The sequence below is a fragment of the Homo sapiens genome, chromosome 2 (genome assembly GCF_000001405.40).
Source record: "Homo sapiens chromosome 2, GRCh38.p14 Primary Assembly".
NCBI classification, from domain to species: Eukaryota; Metazoa; Chordata; class Mammalia; order Primates; family Hominidae; genus Homo; species Homo sapiens.
This window is the reverse complement of record NC_000002.12, coordinates 42,613,497-42,631,383: the sequence shown is the minus strand read 5'-3', so window position 1 is coordinate 42,631,383 and position 17,887 is coordinate 42,613,497. Positions and strand designations below refer to the sequence as shown.

Here is a 17,887-nt window from a genome sequence, read left to right as displayed (position 1 = left end):
TTAATTCAAAGGAAAGGTTATATAGTATAAACACACATCTTCCAAAAAGAGCATGCTAAACATGTACACTATAAAATGTTAAGCTGTGACAGGATTTTTCTCCACTTACTGTATTTTTCCTCTAGTTTTCCTCCTACTAGCAATCTTAAGAGGCTAAGCATACTAACTAACTTTCTCATGTTAACTTCATTTATTAAGGAGCACTACTTATAGGTATCAACAGTACCCTTTTGGCTAATTCAAATTTTATGTATAGATTACCAAAAAAATTACAAAAGCCTAACACTTTAACATACTGTCATAATTAAATGAGCAGGAAGAAAACCAATTATTTTAAAGATTCCAAGTAAGTTTTTAACATTCACAGCCAAACTGAAGAGAGACTAATAATCCACAGTGGAGTTCTATTTTATTACTTATATAAAGTTAGCACTACTATTTATTTTTCAATAAACATATCCATAAAAACTTGTTTTTCTCTGAAAGTAGCAAAAAAGGTCTCAATAGACATAAATTAAATTTACAAATCCTTTCAGCTGAACCTCCCTGCTTTGACCAATGGAGAAATATGAAGAAATAAATACAAAATAAAAATTAAGATACTTTCAACTATTTTACTTGGTATAATTTTGCAGCTACACTCACAATCACACAACTAAAATGTCCTAGGCACAAGTTTATTCATTATAGTATTATTTTTAACAGCAAAAGACTAAAAAAACCAAAAATCCATTAGTTAGGATTAAACAAATTAGATATACAACACAGCCATAAAAAAGAATGAGGCAGATCTTTATGATCCAATATGGACCTATCACCAAGATACTTCATTTCAAAAGCACAACATAAAAGCATCATAATTTACTCCACAATTTACTTAGACATACAAACATACATACCTCATTGCTTCTATACGCATGGAATATTTCTGGAAGTACACCTAAGACTAAAACACTGAAGACCTGGGGGGACTGTGCAGGAGACAGACATTTTATTGTATACTTCATGTTTGTATATTTTGATTTCTGAATCATATATTACAAATCCCCCTCCACTGAAACTGTCCCCACAAGGTTGACAAGAATTGCATGCAGGTTATGGCCAGAAATGTAGTTACAATTAAGTATTAATCAGGCTGCACTTTGGCTCACTTCTCTGCTATTGAAAGTAATGTAGCACAAGATACTGACGAAAGCCTTGATTCTAGTATCAGAGATCAAGTGTATGGGGAGCCCACTGTTCCCATAGACAGGATCTCTGACATTAGAATCATAAGGCTTTTATTTAAGGATCGCTTAAATTGTTTTTTGCCGGGTGTGTTAGCTCATGCCTGTAATCCTAGCACTTGGGGAGGCCAAGGCAAGCAGATCACTTGAGGTCAGGAGACCACCCTGGCCAACATGGTGAAACCCCATGTCTACTAAAAATACAAAAAAAGTTAGCCGGGTGTGGTGACAGGCCGCTGTAATCCCAGCTACTCAGGAGGCTGAGGCACAAGAATTGCTTGAACCTGGGAGGCAGAGGTTGCAGAGAGCCGAGATCATGCCACTGAACTCCAGCCTGGGAGACAGAGCAAGACTACACCTCAAAAAAAAAAATTGTTTTTCAGGCCCCATGAATTCCAGCAACCAGTTTAAAGGCCCCCACAGAGGAACGAGATCAGAAGAATTCAGCTTCTTTATCCCTCACTTCATGACTTCACCGTACAACTCTTGGAGCAATCAAAGATCTCCAAACTTCGGCTCACTCCAAAAGCCTTAAAAACCCCAACTGCAAATTCCCTGAGGAGATAGATTAGAGGTTTCCTCCCACCTCCTTGTTCAAGGACCTTACAATTAAACCTCCTTCTTTGCTGCAACCTGGTGTCTCAGAGTACTGACTGGCTGTGCTCAGTGGGCAGCTAACCTATCACAATTACACTACCAAAAAAAATTTAAATTTTAAAAGCAAGAGGGCATGTCATAAGTTTTCTGTGGTCCTGAAAACAAAAAAAGACTGCTCTATCCGCTGGGCACGGTGGATCACGCCTGTAATCCCAGCACTTTGGGAGGCCGAGGCAGGTGAATCACAAGGTCAGGAGTTCGAGATCAGCCTGGCCAACACGGTGAAACCCTGTCTCTACTAAAGATACAAAAAAGTACCCGGGCATAGTGGCGTGCACCTGTAATCCCAGCTACTCAGGAGGCTGTGGCAGGAGAATTGCTTGAACCTGGGAGACAGAGATTGCAGGGAGCTGAGATCACATTACTGCACTCCAGCGTGGGCCACAGAGCAAGACTCCGTCTCAAAAAATATATATATATATTGCTCTATCATCCACTGCTTTTGGATCCCAGGTTGCACTGAGCATTTAACCAAACTGGATATACCATCCCTAAACACAGCAATATATAAATTCACTCTGGCAATCTATTCCAATCTACTCCCATCTACCGACTATTTCTTTGCCCAGTATTTGAAATATTTTTTGTTTAAAAAGAAAATTCTGCTTACACATAAAATATTTTTAGTTCATTTATTTGTTTCTGACACATAGGACAACCCGAGGAAAAATTTCCCTTCAAACACTAATTGCTCTAGGTAAAACATAAACCAAAAAAAAAAAAAAAAAGGGTGGAAATGTTTTGTCAATACTCAATAACTCAGTTTTAAAAAGAGACAAGAAGAGATAAATCCCAGAATTGTATGGTATTTTTATTCAGTGAGCTAACTGAAAGAAGTTTTACAGCATCTCAATGCAGGGAGGAGAATGGAATAATATTTTCAGTCTCAACAGAATAATGAATTAAATGACAGGCAAAGCCAATGTGTTTATCTCCTCTTTTCTGAGATGCCTTTTAAATAAGAAGGTGGCTGGGTTGGTGGCTCACGCCTGTAATCCCACCACTTTGGGAGGCTGAGGCAGGCGTATTACCTGAAGTCAGCAGTTTGAGACCAGCCTAGCCAGCATGGCAAAACCCCATCTCTACTAAAAATACCAAAAAATTTAGTCAAGCATGCTGGTGGGCGCCTGTAATCCCAGCTACTCGGGAGGCTGAGGCAAGAGAATCACTTGAACCCAGGAGGTGGAGGTTGCAGTGAGCCAAGATCACGCCATTGCACTCCAGTCTGGGTGACAAGAGCAAAACTCCATCTCAAAAATAAATAAATAAATAAATAAATAAATAAATAAATAAAACGATAAGAAGAAAATTAAAAGAACCGCCGGGCACGGTGGCTCAAGCATGTAATCCCAACACTTTGGAAGGCCAAGGCGGGTGGATCACAAAGTCAGGCGTTCAAGACCAGCCTGGCCAACATGGTGAAACCTGGTCTAACCAAAAATACAAAAATTAGCTGGGCGTGGTGGTGCTCACCTGTAATCCCACCTACTTAGGAGGCTGAGGCGGGAGAATCACTTGAACCCGGGAGTCGGAGATTGCAGTAAGCCAAGATGGCGCCGCTGCACTCCAGCCTGGGCAACAGAGTGAGGCTCTGTCTCAAAACAAAACAAAACAAAAGAACCTGGCAGGGAATGGTGGCTCATGCCTGTAATCCCAGCACTTTGGAAGGCCCAGGTGGGCAGATCATTAGAGGTCAGGAGTTTGAGACCAGTCTGACCAACATGGCGAAACTATGTCTCTACCAAAAATACAAAAAAAAAAAAAAAAAAAAAAAATTTAGCCAGGCTTGGTGGCACATACTCCCAGCTACTTGGGAGGCTGAGGCAGGAGGATCACTTGAACTCCTGAGGTGGAGGTTGCAGTGAGCCAAGATGACACCACTGCACTCCAACCTGAGAGACAGAGCGAGACTCCGTTTCAAATTTAAAAAAAAGAAAAAAAGAATCTAAACCATAATAAAGAGAATGTGAGGGGGCCATTAGAAGAATAAAGATTTTCAGAAAATTTTGGAAGACCAAAGGGAAAGACTAAGAAGAAAAGACTAAGAAGAGCACATCTGGCCACTATCTAAAATACTACTAAACATAGCATTGCTGGTTTTCCCTAATATAATTAGGACAAGAAAAACAATTAAGAAACAAAGCTCAGGCCTGGCAGTGGTTTGGAAGGCCAAGGCAGAAGGATCACTTGAGGCCAGGAGTTAGAGACCACCCTGGACAACATAGGGAGACCAGTCGCTACAAAAAAAAGTTTAAGTTAGCTGGGCATGGTGGCCAGCACCTGCAGTCCCAGCTACTCAGGAGGCTGAGGTGAGAGGATCGCTTGAGCCCAGGAGTTCAAGGCTGCAATGAGCCACGAATCGTGCCACTGCACTCCAGCCTAGAAAACAGAGAGAAATCCTGTGCTAAAGGAAAAAAAAAGAAAAAAGAAACAAAGCCCAAAATATGTATAAAGGGAGATGGCTGGGTGCAGTGGCTCATGCCTGTAATCCCAGCACTTTGGGAGGCCAAGACAGGCAGATCACCTGAGGTCAGGAGTTTGAAGCCAGCCTGGCCAACATGGTGAAACCCAATCTCTACTACAAATACAAAAATTAGCTGGGTGTGGTGGGGTAGGCCTGTAATCCCAACTACTTGGGAGGCTGAGGCACAAGAATTGCTTGAACCTGGGAGACAGAGGTTACAGTGAGCTGAGGTGGCACCATTATACTACATCCTGGGCGACAAAGCAAGACTCTGTCTAAAAAAAAATTAAATTTAAAAAAAAGGAGCTAATACTAGGAAAAATGGAACTGACCTATCCAGGATAGTCCTGAAGAATTTTCTAGTCTAAGAGGGTAAGACTTAGAAAAGTCAACTTCACAACTGCCTGAAGACAAAGTCAGCCCATAAAACTGAAGCTCCTAGGCCAGGTGCGGTGGCCCACGCCTGTAATCCCAGCACTTTGGGGGGCCGAGGCAGGCGGATCACGAGGTCAGGAGTTCGAGACCAGCCTGGCCAACATGGTGAAACCCCATCTCTACTAAAAATGCAAAAATTAGCTGGGCATGGTGGTGGGTGCCTTTAATGCCAGCTACCCTGGAGGCGGAGGCAGGAGAATCGCTTGAGCCCAAGAAGCAGAGGTTGCAGTGAGCCGAGATTACACCACTGCACTCCAGCCTGGGTGACAGAGTGAGACTCCGAATCAAAAAAAATTTTAAAAAAATGGAGCTCCTGTTCAGCCTTACTACCTTGGTTTTGAATAAGAATAGAAAACTATGGCCGGGCACGGTGGTTCACGCCTGTAATCCCAGCACTTTGGGAGGCCGAGGCGGGCAGATCACGAGGTCAGGAGATCGAGACCATCCTGGCTAACACTGTGAAACCCCATCTCTACTAAAAATACAAAAAAATTAGCTGAGAGTGGTGGCAGGCGCCTGTAGTCCCAGCTACTCGGGAGGCTGAGGCAGGAGAATGGCATGAAGCCGGGAGGTAGAGCTTGCAGTGAGCCGAGATTGCGCCACTGCACTCCAGCCTGGGCGACAAAGCAGGACTCCGACTCAAAAAAAAAAAAAAGAAAAAAAAAAGGATAACTGAATCATCTAATACTTGAGAACAGACTACAGCATAAAAGATAAATATAAAAAATCAACAACTGAACTTGAAGAAACAATTTAGGCAACAACACAGAACTGTGCATGCAGATAATAGATTTATTAAAATGACTGGTGAGGATACTGTGTTCAGAAAACAAATTTTTTTTTTTTTTTTTTTTTGAGATGGAGTCTCGCTCTGTTACCCAGGCTAGAGTGCAGTGGCGTGATCTCGGTTCACTGCAACCTCCGCCTCCCGGGTTCACGACATTCTCCTACCTCAGCCTCCTTAGTAGCTGGGACTACAGGCGCCTGCCACCACGCCCAGCTAATTTTTTTGTATTTTTAGTAGAGACGGGGTTTCACCGTGTTAGCCAGGATGGTCTCAATCTCCTGACCTCATGATCCGCCCACCTCGGCCTCCCAAAGTGCTGGGATTAAAGGCATAAGCCACTGTGCCCGGCCCATAAAACAAATTTTAAAACATGATTGGCAAAATTAAAATATCACTAGACGTGCTAGAAAAATCAAAGATTTAGCTCAGGGACCTCCACCTCCAAAAAAGGGAAAAAAAGAAAAATGGAAAATATGAGAAAACGGCCAGGCACGGTGGCTCACGCCTGTAATCCCAACACTTTGAGAAGCCGAGGTGGGTGGATCACCTGAGGTCAGGAGTTCAAGACCAGCCTGGCCAACATGGTGAAACCCCATCTCTACTAAAAATACAAAAATTAGACAGGCATGGTGGCGGGCGCCTGTAATCCCACCTACTCAGGAGGCTGAGGCAGGAGAATCGCTTGAATCTAGGAAGCAAAGGTTGCAGTGAGCCGAGATGGCGCCACTGCACTCCAGCCTGGGTGACAAAGCAAGACTCCATCTCAAAAAAATAAAAAAGTAAATAAAGGAAAACAGATCTTCAAATTACAATGGTGTATCAAATATCCTTACCATTGATGCATCACTGTAAAATTTTAGTATGCAACAAATAAGAAAATTCTAAAAAGATTTCAGAGAGGAAATAGATAACATGCGAAGAATGGAGAACCGATGTGGTATAAAACTCATGTTCAATGACAATGGATGTCTGATGACAATGGGGTAAACATCTTCAAAGTTTTGAGGAAAAATCATTTTCAACCCAAAATTCAATGCAAAGAAAGATCATGTATCAAGTGTCTACTATTAAATTATGAATTTCATACCAGAATAGTATAGGAAGTTACAAAATATTTAAAAGAGTGATTGAGTCTGACAAAGTTGAGAAGCTCTGCTATAAGTTAATACACATTAAAAACAAAAAAAGAGGCTGGGCACAGTGGCTCACACCTGTAATCCCAGCAATTTGGGAGGCCGAGGCAGGTGGATCACAACGTCAGCAGTTCAAGACCAGCCTGGCCAAAATGCAAAATGGTGAAACCCTGTCTCTACTGAAAATACAAAAATTAGCTGGGTGTGGTGGCAGGCACCTGTAATCCCAGCTACTTAGGAGGCTGAGGCAGAGAACTGCTTGAACCCAGGAGGTGGAGGTTGCAGTGAGCCAAGATCACACCACTGCACTCCAGCCTGGGCAACAAGAGCAAGATTCCATCTCAAAAAATAAAAAATTAAAAAATTAAAAATTAAAGTTAATATACATTAAGATACAAAATGAAAATTAATAAAAATCCAAAAATAATATTAAAAATTATTGTATTTTATTATAAAAGTAATTCAGTTTTATTGAAATAAAAATAAAATCAAATACTAAACAAAGAAAAGTCTGAATTATGGATCACTAGGCAATAATTGACTTCCAGTAACATCCTAAAAAGCAACAACCAAACTATACACTTCTCGTTAGATATCACCATCTTTCTGTCTCTTGCGTTTGTTCCTCCCTTTTACCCCTCCAACCATACCTTTAAATCTGAACTACCAGACCGGGCGAAGTGGCTCAGCCTATAATCCCAGCACTTTGGGAGGCCGAGGTGGGTGGATCACACCTAAGGTCGGTGGATCACACCTAAGGTCAGGAGTTCGAGACCAGCTGGCCACCATGGTGAAACCCCGTCTCTACTTAAAATACAAAAAAATTAGCCGGGTGTAGTGGCGCACACCTGTAGTCCCAGGTACTTGGGAGGCTGAGCCAGGACAATGGCTTGAACCTGGAAGGCGGAGTTTGCCGTGAGCAGAGATTGTGCCACTGCTCCTGCCTGGGCGACAGACTCTGTCTCAAAAAAAAAAAAAAAAAAATCTGAACTACCAAGATGAAAACTCAAGGGGCATGGTAAAATACCATGGGGATACAATCAGCAAAATCCAAACAGTGAAAAGGAAACAAAATCCCAGTTTCTTCAACAAAAACTAGCCAAGGAAAAAGAAAGAGAAGGAAAAGGGAAGTCCTAACATTTCCCCTGCTGTGGCCACCTGTTGTGCTGGATTCCCAAGCTTGCAAGCTAGGAGAGCACTGCCTCTAGAGGACTGAAGAAAAGACCCAAAGACAGCGGCGTGACATAAGCTTTATTCAGGGAACTTATGTCCAGGGAGTCCAGGAGGGGAAGGCTGGACAGGAAAAACCATTCCCTTTTATAAAAAGCATGCAGGTTTTACAGCAAGTACCCTTCGCATAGCAACCACCACTTAGCAGCCTCCACCTAGCTGAAAACAATGGGCCTCAGTTCCTTGGACCACCTGCATTCCAAGGCACACGCCAGGATCCAGGTGTCCTTCACAGGTATGGCATAAACATCAGGGTTGGCCATTACTGGAACACTAAACAAACATTCATCAAGGAACACAGGATCATTCTCAAGGTATGCTTGAGTTATTGCTGTCTGGCAAGACACGCCCACCATATACCACCCAACTGACTTGGTACCATTTACTAAAACAACTACCTTTTCCTCATTACATTACCATGGAGACTTTGTCATAAACAAAGTTGTATTATACTTGTGAATCTCTTCTGGCTTTTGTATTGTTTCATTGGTTTATTTTTCAATTCACTTACTAATATACCGTATCTTAATTATTCTAACTTTACAAGTGTCTTCCAATCTAATGATATAAGCAACGTAAGTCCTCCAGCACTTTTGTTTGTCAAGACTGACTTTGTCAACGCTTCTCAAAACTTTTGTTCTCAAGATTCTCTTACATGGAGGCCAGGTGTGGTAGCTCACACCTATAATCCCAGCACTTTGAGAGACTAAGGTGGGAAGATTACTTGAGGCCAGGAGTTGAAGATCAGCCTGGGCAACAAAACAAGATCCCATTTCAAAAAAAAAAAAATAGGCAAAAATTTTTTTAAAAAGATTCCTTTACGTTTATACCTATTGAGGTACTCAAAGAACTTACGTTGGATACATATGTATCAACATTTACCATGTTGAAATTAAAACTGAGAAGAAACTTAACATTTACTAATTTAAAATAAAAACATATTACAAATTAGCAAGTATTTGTTATGAATAATTACTATTTCCCGAAACAAATATAAAACTCTAATAAGATCCCTCTCCCTCCCCCTCCCCCTCTACCTCCCCCTACCCCTCTCCCCACGGTCTCCCTCTCATGCCGAGCCGAAGCTGGACGGTACTGCTGCCATCTCCGCTCACTGCAACCTCCCTGTCTGATTCTCCTGCCTCAGCCTGCTGAGTGCCTGCGATTGCAGGCGCGCGCCGCCAAGCCTGACTGGTTTTCGTATTTTTTTTGGTGGAGACGGGGTTTCGCTGTGTTGGCCGGGCTGGTCTCCAGCTCCTAACCGCGAGTGATCTGCCAGCCTCGGCCTCCCGAGGTGCCGGGATTGCAGACGGACTCTGGTTCACTCAGTGCTCAATGTTGCCCAGGCTGGAGTGCAGTGGCGTGATCTCGGCTCGCTACAACCTCCACCTCCCAGCCGCCTGCCTTGGCCTCCCAAAGTGCCGAGACTGCAGCCTCTGCCCGGCCGCCACCCCGTCTGGGAAGTGAGGAGCGTCTCTGCCTGGCCGCCCATCGTCTGGGATGTGAGGAGCCCCTCTGCCCGGCTGCCCAGTCTGAGAAGTGAGGAGCGCCTCTTCCCGTCTAGGAAGTGAGGAGCATCTCTGCCTGGCCGCCCATCGTCTGAGATGTGGGGAGCGCCTCTGCCCGGCCACGACCCCGTCTGGGAGGTGAGGAGCGTCTCTGCCCAGCCGCCCCGTCTGAGAAGTGAAGAGCCCCTCCGCCCGGCAGCCGCCCCGTCTGAGAAGTGAGGAGCCCCTCCACCTGGCAGCCGCCCGTCTGGGAAGTGAGGAGCCCCTCTGCCCGGCTGCCACCCCGTCTGGGAGGTGTACCCAACAGCTCATTGAGAACGGGCCATGATGACGATGGCGGTTTTGTCGAATAGAAAAGGGGGAAATGTGGGGAAAAGATAGAGAAGTCAGATTGTTGCTGTGTCTGTGTAGAAAGAAGTAGACATAGGAGACTCCATTTTGTTCTGTACTAAGAAGAATTGTTCTGCCTTGGGATGCTGTTGATCTATGACCTTACTCCCAACCCGGTGCTCTCTGAAACATGTGCTGTGTCCACTCAGGGTTAAATGGATTAATGGCGGTGCAAGATGTGCTTTGTTAAACAGATGCTTGAAGGCAGCATGCTCGTTAAGAGTCATCACCACTCCCTAATCTCAAGTACCCAGGGACACAAACACTGCAGAAGGCTGCAGGGTCCTCTGCCTAGGAAAACCAGAGACCTTTGTTCACTTGTTTATCTGCTGACCTTCCCTCCACTATTGTCCTATGACCCTGCCAAATCCCCCTCTGCGAGAAACACCCAAGAATGATCAATTAAAAAAAAAAAAAAAAACTCTAATAAGAGTAACATTGTTTCACATTTTTGCAAATTGCTTCAATGTCTACCTTAATAGCTTTACTGAGGTATAACTGACAAATAAAAATTGTATATTTACAGTGTACAACATGATGTTTTGATGTATGTCTACATTGTGAATGGCTGACAACTAGAGTTTCACATGAATATCTATGAAATAACCATGACTTTTCAAAAAAAGCTGATAAAATACCCATGTCTAAATAAACATAGTTTAGCTTTCAGTGATTATCTTGAAGTAAAAATGGTATTCCAAGAAAAAGGCAGCTAGTTCAGCTCACGATTCAAACAATCCCATGTTTTCTCGAGTTAACCAGCTGGGCCCAGTGGCTCATCCCCGTAATCCCAACACTTCGAGAGGCCAAGATGGGAGGACTGTTTGAACCCAGAAGTTTAAGAAACAACCTGGGCAACATAGCTAGACTCTATCCCTACAAAAAGTTTAAAAACTAGCCAGGCATGGTACCGTGCACCTGTGGTCCAAGCTAATTGGGAGGCTGAGGTGGCAGGATTGCTTGAGCTAAGAAGGTCAAGGCTGCAGTGAGCCGTGATGACACCACTGTACTCTAGCCTGAGCAACAGAGCGAGACCCTATCTCTCAAAAAGAAAAGAAAACCATCACACATCAATATGCAACAGAAGTGGGTTTAGGTGTACTTCTGAGTTCACAGGTCAAGATGTGTGATGTCGGCAGGGCACGGTAGCTCATTCCTGTAATTCCAGCACTTTGGGAGGCCAAGGCAGGTGGAATCACCTGAGGCCAGGAGTTTGATATCAGCCTGGCCAACATGGTAAAACACCGTCTCTATTAAAAATACAAAAATAAGCCAGGCGTGGCAGTGCACATCTGTAATTCCAGCTACTCGGGAGGCTGAGGCAGGAGAATCACTTGAACGTGGGTGGCAGAGGTTGCAGTGAGCCAAGATCACGCCATTGCACTCCAGCCTGGGCGACAGAGCAAGACTCTTTAAAAAAAAAAAAAAAAAAAAGATGTGTGATGTCTTGAAACAATACAGAGGTGATGGTTGCAAACACTGTCAACGTGCTAAATGCCACTGTATATGGTTAATGGTTAATCTGATGTTATATGAATTTCACCTCAATTATAAAGAAGGGCCAAAATTTATTAAAGCTAATAAATTATACTACTTTGCCAAGAACATTCTTAAGTAGAACTTGCCTTTGTTTTTTTCTTAAACTGTGAATGCACAGCGTTCTAGAACACAACTACTAACTAGCTCGGCCTGGTACCACGGATTTGTGCTACGGCACCAGGAGAGCAAAATCAACACAGAAAAAAGGTAAGTAACATCTTACTGTTATGAAAATAGTCTTGATTTCATAAACCCTCGGAAAAAGTCTTGGGGGACATCTGGGCATAAAGAAATAATAATTTGAAAAATCCTTATTTTCATTGTTGTTAGTCCTTCCCTTTTTTTGAATCAACTTCTCAATTTATACATACACACACAATCCTGCTGAGATTTTATTTGGAACTACATTGAATCACTGGGTCAATGTGGGGGAAACTCAAATATTGTAATGATATATCCCACATTTATTTAACTTTTCTTTAATTCTTTCAGCAATATTTTACTTTGTATGTAGAGGTTTTACAGATCTTTCTTTAGATTCATTTGATGTTTCTGGATAATATAAATATCATTTTAAATTGAGTTTCCTAACTGACCTGGCCTCACACCACATACACACTGAGTAAAACTGACTAAGATACAAAAAGTGGAACAGTAAAGCATCTAGATGAATATACTTGAGAATATCTTCACAATCTTAAGAAATCTTTGTCTATTCCAAAACAGTGACACTGGGTTAGTTTTTTCATGAGTGCTCTTTCTGAGTCACCACTCTGCTTACTCAACTTCCATTCTGCTCCTTTATCTGTATCAAACTTATCAGTCACATCTATCAACTACTGAACAATGGAATTTTCCCAGCCTTTAACTGTTCTCTCTCCTCTTGCTGTTCCGTTGTTCATTTTGCAATCATTATTTCTCACGTATTTAAAAACCAACCAACCAAGCTAGAACAAGCAAAAATGACAACAGGTGCACTGAAGAATAAGCATTACTTAACATGAGAGGCAGCTACCAATGCAAGTAATGAGGCTCCTCTGTCAGTCAGATGTTGCCAAAATCCAGCAGTGAGCACACATACAATTATTACAGAAAAGAAAAATGGGCCAGGCTCACTGGCTCACACCTGTAATCCCAATACTTTGGGAGGCCGAGGCAAGAGGATCACTTTAGGACAGGAGTTTGAGGCCAGCCTGGACAATAATATGAGACCCGAACTCTACCAAAAAAATTATTTTAATAAGCCAGGCATAGTGGTACATGCCTGTAGTCCCAGATACTCAAGAGGATGAGGCAGGAGGATCACTTGAGCCCATGAGGTGGAGGCCACAGTGAGCTATGTTCACGCCACTGCACTCTAGCCTGGGCAACAGAGCGAGACTCTGTTTCAAAAAATAGAAAAAAAATGCATTAATGATATACCAAAATGTCAGTAGTACTTCTGCGCAATGCAATTACAGATAAGGAGAGAAGTAGTGTCTTTTTCTATATTTTCTACATGTCAACAATAAATTATATTGTTTTTATGACCAGAAAATACACATAAGTTTATTTAAAATTTTTAACATACAGCTAATGCTGAAGTAACAGCAAAATGAACATATTCATAATACATTACCGGGAGGAAATTGACAGAATTCTTGAAGGATTAGCATTCTGTAACAAAAATATTTGAAATATGTTCCCCTAAGTTAGAAAAAGGTCTGTTCTCAAATGATAATGACACTTAACGTGACTACGTTTTTACTACTAGGAAAGGGAAGATTAAGAGTTGTTTTCGGGCAGAGCATGGTGGTTCACTCACGGTGGGAGGCCAGGGTGGAAGGATTACATGAGGCCAAGTGTTCAAGACCAGCCTGGGCAACATAGTGAGACCTTCTCTCCAACAAAACTTTTTTTTACATTACCCAGGTATGGTAGTGTGCACTTGCAGTCCCAGCTACTTGGAAGGCTGAGGTGGGAGGATCACTTGAGCCCAGAAGTTTGAGGCTACAGTGAGCTATGATCACTCCATTGCCCATCAGCCTGGGCAACAGAGCAAAACCACATCTCTATTTAAATTTTTTTTTTTTTAAAAAAAGAGTTGTTTTCAGCAGATTTCTATCAATGCTCCCTTCATCAGAACCAGCCATACTGTCAAGCGAGGAGGGGAATAAAAATAGATGTAAAGTGGCATTTTCTCTATCTGATGTCCAAATGTGCAAATTTTATTTTACGCATTTTTTTTTTTATTTTTTAGAGGCAGAGTTGCACTGTTGTTGCCCAGGCTGGAGTGAAATGGTACAATCTCAGCTCACTGCAACGTCCGCCTCCCGGGTTCAAGTGATTCTCCTGTCTCAGCCTCCCTAGTAGCTGAGATTACAGGCATGCGCCACCAGGCCCGGCTAATTTTGTATTTTTAGTAGAGATGGGGTTTCACCATGTTGGTCAGGCTGGTGACCTCCCAAAGTGCTGGGATTACACGTTTGAGCCACCATGCCCGGCCTCAAACATGCAAATTTTAAAATAATACCTTTTCCCATTATATATCTATCTACTCATTTCAGGAAAACTATAAGTATAAAGATAACATTTGCTTGCTTTTTTTATATCAAAACATTTTTTGATATTAAAACAATTGTTTCCTAGCAAGAAAACTCAGAGAAAAAATAAAACAAATCTACAATGAACACATCAGTATGTATATTTCTACAAACTTGTGTGAGAAGTTCTGTAAGATCAAGTCCTAAAAGCAGAATTGCTGGCTCAAAGGGTATGTACACATTGCAATTTGACTGATCTTTCTGGTTATACTAATACTCTGACAAGAAGAGTATCTATTTCTCCATCCAATACTGGATATTAAGATAAGAACTACAGTATTCTCTCTCCTAAATAATTCTTATAGGCTAGAACCTTTCCTATTTATCCCTTTCTCATGGTTGCTGCAAATTGCTCTTAAATTGGTTTTGTTTCACAACAAATAATGAGTATACAAAAAAGCTTTCCTATTCTCTGTCTAGTATTCCATTTAAAAGTCCGAGGTTGACTCAGAACAAGCCACCCTTGCTCAGAGTGTGAGCAAAAAAAAGAAAAAGCACGAAATCTAAAATTACATTTAAAGTCAATTGCAATTAAGAAGATATTACTCAGCTAGGCACGATGGCTCACGCCTGTAATCCCAACACTTTGGGAGGCCAAGGCAGGAGGATCGCTTGAGACCAGCAGCGATCGTTTGCGAACAGCCTGGCCAACACAACGAAACCCCGTCTCTACAAAAAATACAAAAATTAGCCAGGCATAGTGGCGTGAGCTTGTAATCCTAGCTATGCAGGAGGCTAAGGTGGGAGCATCATCTCAGCCAGGGAGGACGAGGCTGCAGTGAGCCATGATTGTGCCACTACATTCCAGCCTGGGTGACAGAGTGAGACCCTGTCTCAAAAAAAAAAAAAAAAAAAAAAAAGAAGAAGAAGAAGAGATTAATCAAATTTCTGTGAATGGCTTATTTCCTTAAAGAATAAAAGCAAAATTAAATGTAAACCCCATACAAGGTTCAAATCCTGAATGGCTGTAGGATACAATGTTCCGCAATAAACATTAAAAAAAAAAAAAAAGACAAGAGATCTTCAAGAATCTTATAATCTAAAATGAACTCTAAATAGAACCACCTAGGCCAGGCGTGCAATGGCTCACGCCTGTAATCCCAACACTTTGGGAGGCCAAAGCAGGCAGATCACCTGAAGTCAGGAGTTCGAGGCCAGCCTGGCCAACATGGTGAAACCCCGTCTCAACTAAAAATACAAAAATATTAGCCAGGCGTGGTGGCACATGCCTGTAAATCCCAGCTATTCGGGAGGCTGAGGTGGGAGAATCGCTTGAAACCGGGAGGCGGAGTTGCAGTGAGCCGAGATCACACCACTGCACTCTAGCCTGGGTGATGAGAGTGAAACTATGTCTCAAAAACAAAAACAAAGAAGAGATTATTAGCGGCCAGTCTCGGTGGCTCACGCCTGTACGGCCGGGCACGGTGGCTCATGCCTGTAATCCCAGCACTTTGGGAGGCTGAGGTGGGCAGATCACGAGGTCAGGAGATCAAGAACATCCTGGAGAACATGGGGAAACCCTGTCTCTACTAAAAATACAAAAAATTAGCCGGGCATGGTGGCAGGCGCCTGTAGTCCCAGCTACTCTGGAGATTCAGGCAGGAGAATGGCGTGAACCCGGGAGGCAGAGCTTGCAGTGAGCCAAGATCAGGCCACCACACTCCAGCCTGGGCGACAGAGCGAGACTCCGTCTCAAAAAAAAAAAAAAAAAAAAAAAAAAAGAAGAGATTATTCAAGTATCTGTGGTGACTTATTTCCTTAAAGAATAAAAGTAAAATTGGCCAGGCGCAGTGGCTCAAGCCTGTAATTCCAGCACTTTGGGACGCCGAGGTGGGCGGATCACAAGGTCATGAGATCAAGACCATCTTGGCCAACATGGTGAAACCCTGTCTCTACTAAAAATACAAAAATTAGCTGAGCACGCTGGCGCATGCCTGTAGTCCCAGCTATTAGGGAGGCAGAGACAAGAGAATCGCTTGAACCTGGGAGGCAGAGGTTGCAGTGAATCGAGATCGCAGCACTAGGCCCAGATCCAGCCTAGGTGACAGAGCGAGAATCCATCAAAAAAAATAAAAAATAAAAGTAAAATTAAATGTAAACACTATACAAGGTTCAAATCCTGAATGGCTATTGGATACAGTGTTCCATAGTAAACATTAAAAAAAAAAAAAAGAAAAAAACAGACAATAGATCTTCAAGAACCTTATAATCTAAGATGAAGTCAAGCAATTCTCCTGCCTCAGCCTCCAGAGGAGCTGGGATTACAGGCACGTGCCACCATGACCAGCTAATTTTTGTATTTTTAGGAGAGATGGGGTTTCGCCACGTTGGCCAGGCTGGCCTTCAACTCCTGACCTCAGTTGATCCACCTGCCTCGGCCTCCAGAAGTGCCGGGATTACAGTCATGAGTCACCGTGCCCAGCCTAGGTTTTCTGCTTTTTGTTTTTTTTTTTTTTAAGACAGAGTCTTGCTCTGTCACCCAGGCTAAAGTACAGTGTCACAATCATGGCTCACTATAGCCTTGAACTCCTGGGCTCAAGCAATCCTCCTACCTCAACTTCCCAAATACTTCTGGGAATACAGGCATACGCTGCCATGCCATGCTAATTTTTTTATTATTTATAGAGACAGGGTGTCCCAATGTTGCCCAGGCTGGTCTTTAACTACAAGGTTCATGTAATCCTCCCACCCCGGCCTCTCAAAGTCCTAGGATTACAGGCATGAGCCACTGCACCCAGCTGAATATTAGAATATTTTAAAGCCGAATTCACTATATTACACGAGTTATATATAAGACTGGGTTATATATTAATATAATGAGTACAACAGCCCGAGCATCACAAAGCAGATAATGGAAGGGTAGGTTTAGAGATGAGATAAAAGAAATAGCTACATAATTGTGAGGAGTTGTGTTGCCCATCTCAAATTTACAAATTTTCAGTCTACTTATGAATGAATGCACAATGAAAAGATATTTGTAAGTCAGATGATACAAATTTAAAAGTTATTGAATATTTGTAGTAAGAAAATCTATCAGGCTGGGCGCAGTGGCTCACGCCTGTAATCCCAGCACTTTGGGAGACTGAGGCGGGTAGATCACCTGAGCTCGGGAGTTTCAGACTAGCCTGACCAACATGGAGAAACCCCGTCTGTACTAAAAATACAAAATTAGCCGGGTGTGCTGGCACTTGCCTGTAATCCCAGCTACTCGGGAGGCTGAGGCAAGAGAATCACCTACCACCGGGAAGCAGAGGTTTCGGTGAGCCAAGATCGTGCCACTGCACTCCAGTCTGGGCAGCAAGAGCAAAACTCCGTCTCAGAAAAAAAGAAAATCTATTAATGAAGATATTAAGTCATACACACATATTGGAACTGAATATAGTAAAATAAATACATATGATATCTAGCAGCTGACATAACAAGGCTTATAGTGCTTAATAATGTTTGCAACATATAATCTATTATTCAGCGACCTCAATCACTGTGCATAAATGAAGCATGCTGCCTCTCACTTCCCCTCAAAAAAATGTCCCAAAGGGATACTCACTACTCAAGCCCCATCTATCTCACAAACAAGAGATGAATCACTAACTCTACTCCGAAAAGTCCTGGGTCCTGTCCACTCTCTCTTCCGGTGGAATCAGAAGAAACAAAGAGTTTCCTCCCTGCCACTTTGGGAAGTGTTAAGCGTCTCATGAATATTATAGTTCACAGACTAAAAAGCAACTCAAGAATGCCTCAGTCAGGTTTTCTTCTATGTTCCAAAGAGCACCAAGGAAATTCTGGGCACTTGATAGTGTCCCTGAGAGTAAAACATCAGTATTCACCAAATTACCCTCTTTGCTGCCAAAGAACGATGGGGCTTTGATAATTTTCTCCTTTTAAAGCCAAAAAGATAAGGCATGACTTCAACATTAGCAAAATGTCAAGACCACT

The 17,887-nt window shown here is 42.6% G+C and overlaps 1 protein-coding gene and 1 long non-coding RNA gene across 10 annotated transcripts in view; one reads left to right on the top strand and one right to left on the bottom strand.

The window, feature by feature from the left end:
• Nucleotides 1-17,887, bottom strand: part of MTA3 (metastasis associated 1 family member 3) — a 262,837-nt gene that overhangs the window by 125,563 nt on the left and 119,387 nt on the right. The gene's annotated exons all lie outside the window — the stretch shown is intronic.
• LOC105374555 (uncharacterized) overlaps nt 11,501-17,887 on the top strand; it is a 36,950-nt gene continuing 30,563 nt past the window's right edge. For all 4 annotated transcript variants that reach the window (XR_001739432.2, XR_001739429.3, XR_001739430.2 and 1 more), the window contains exons 1-2: nt 11,501-11,576; nt 13,998-14,121. This is a non-coding gene — a long non-coding RNA (uncharacterized LOC105374555). The remainder of the gene's footprint in view (nt 11,577-13,997; nt 14,122-17,887) is intronic.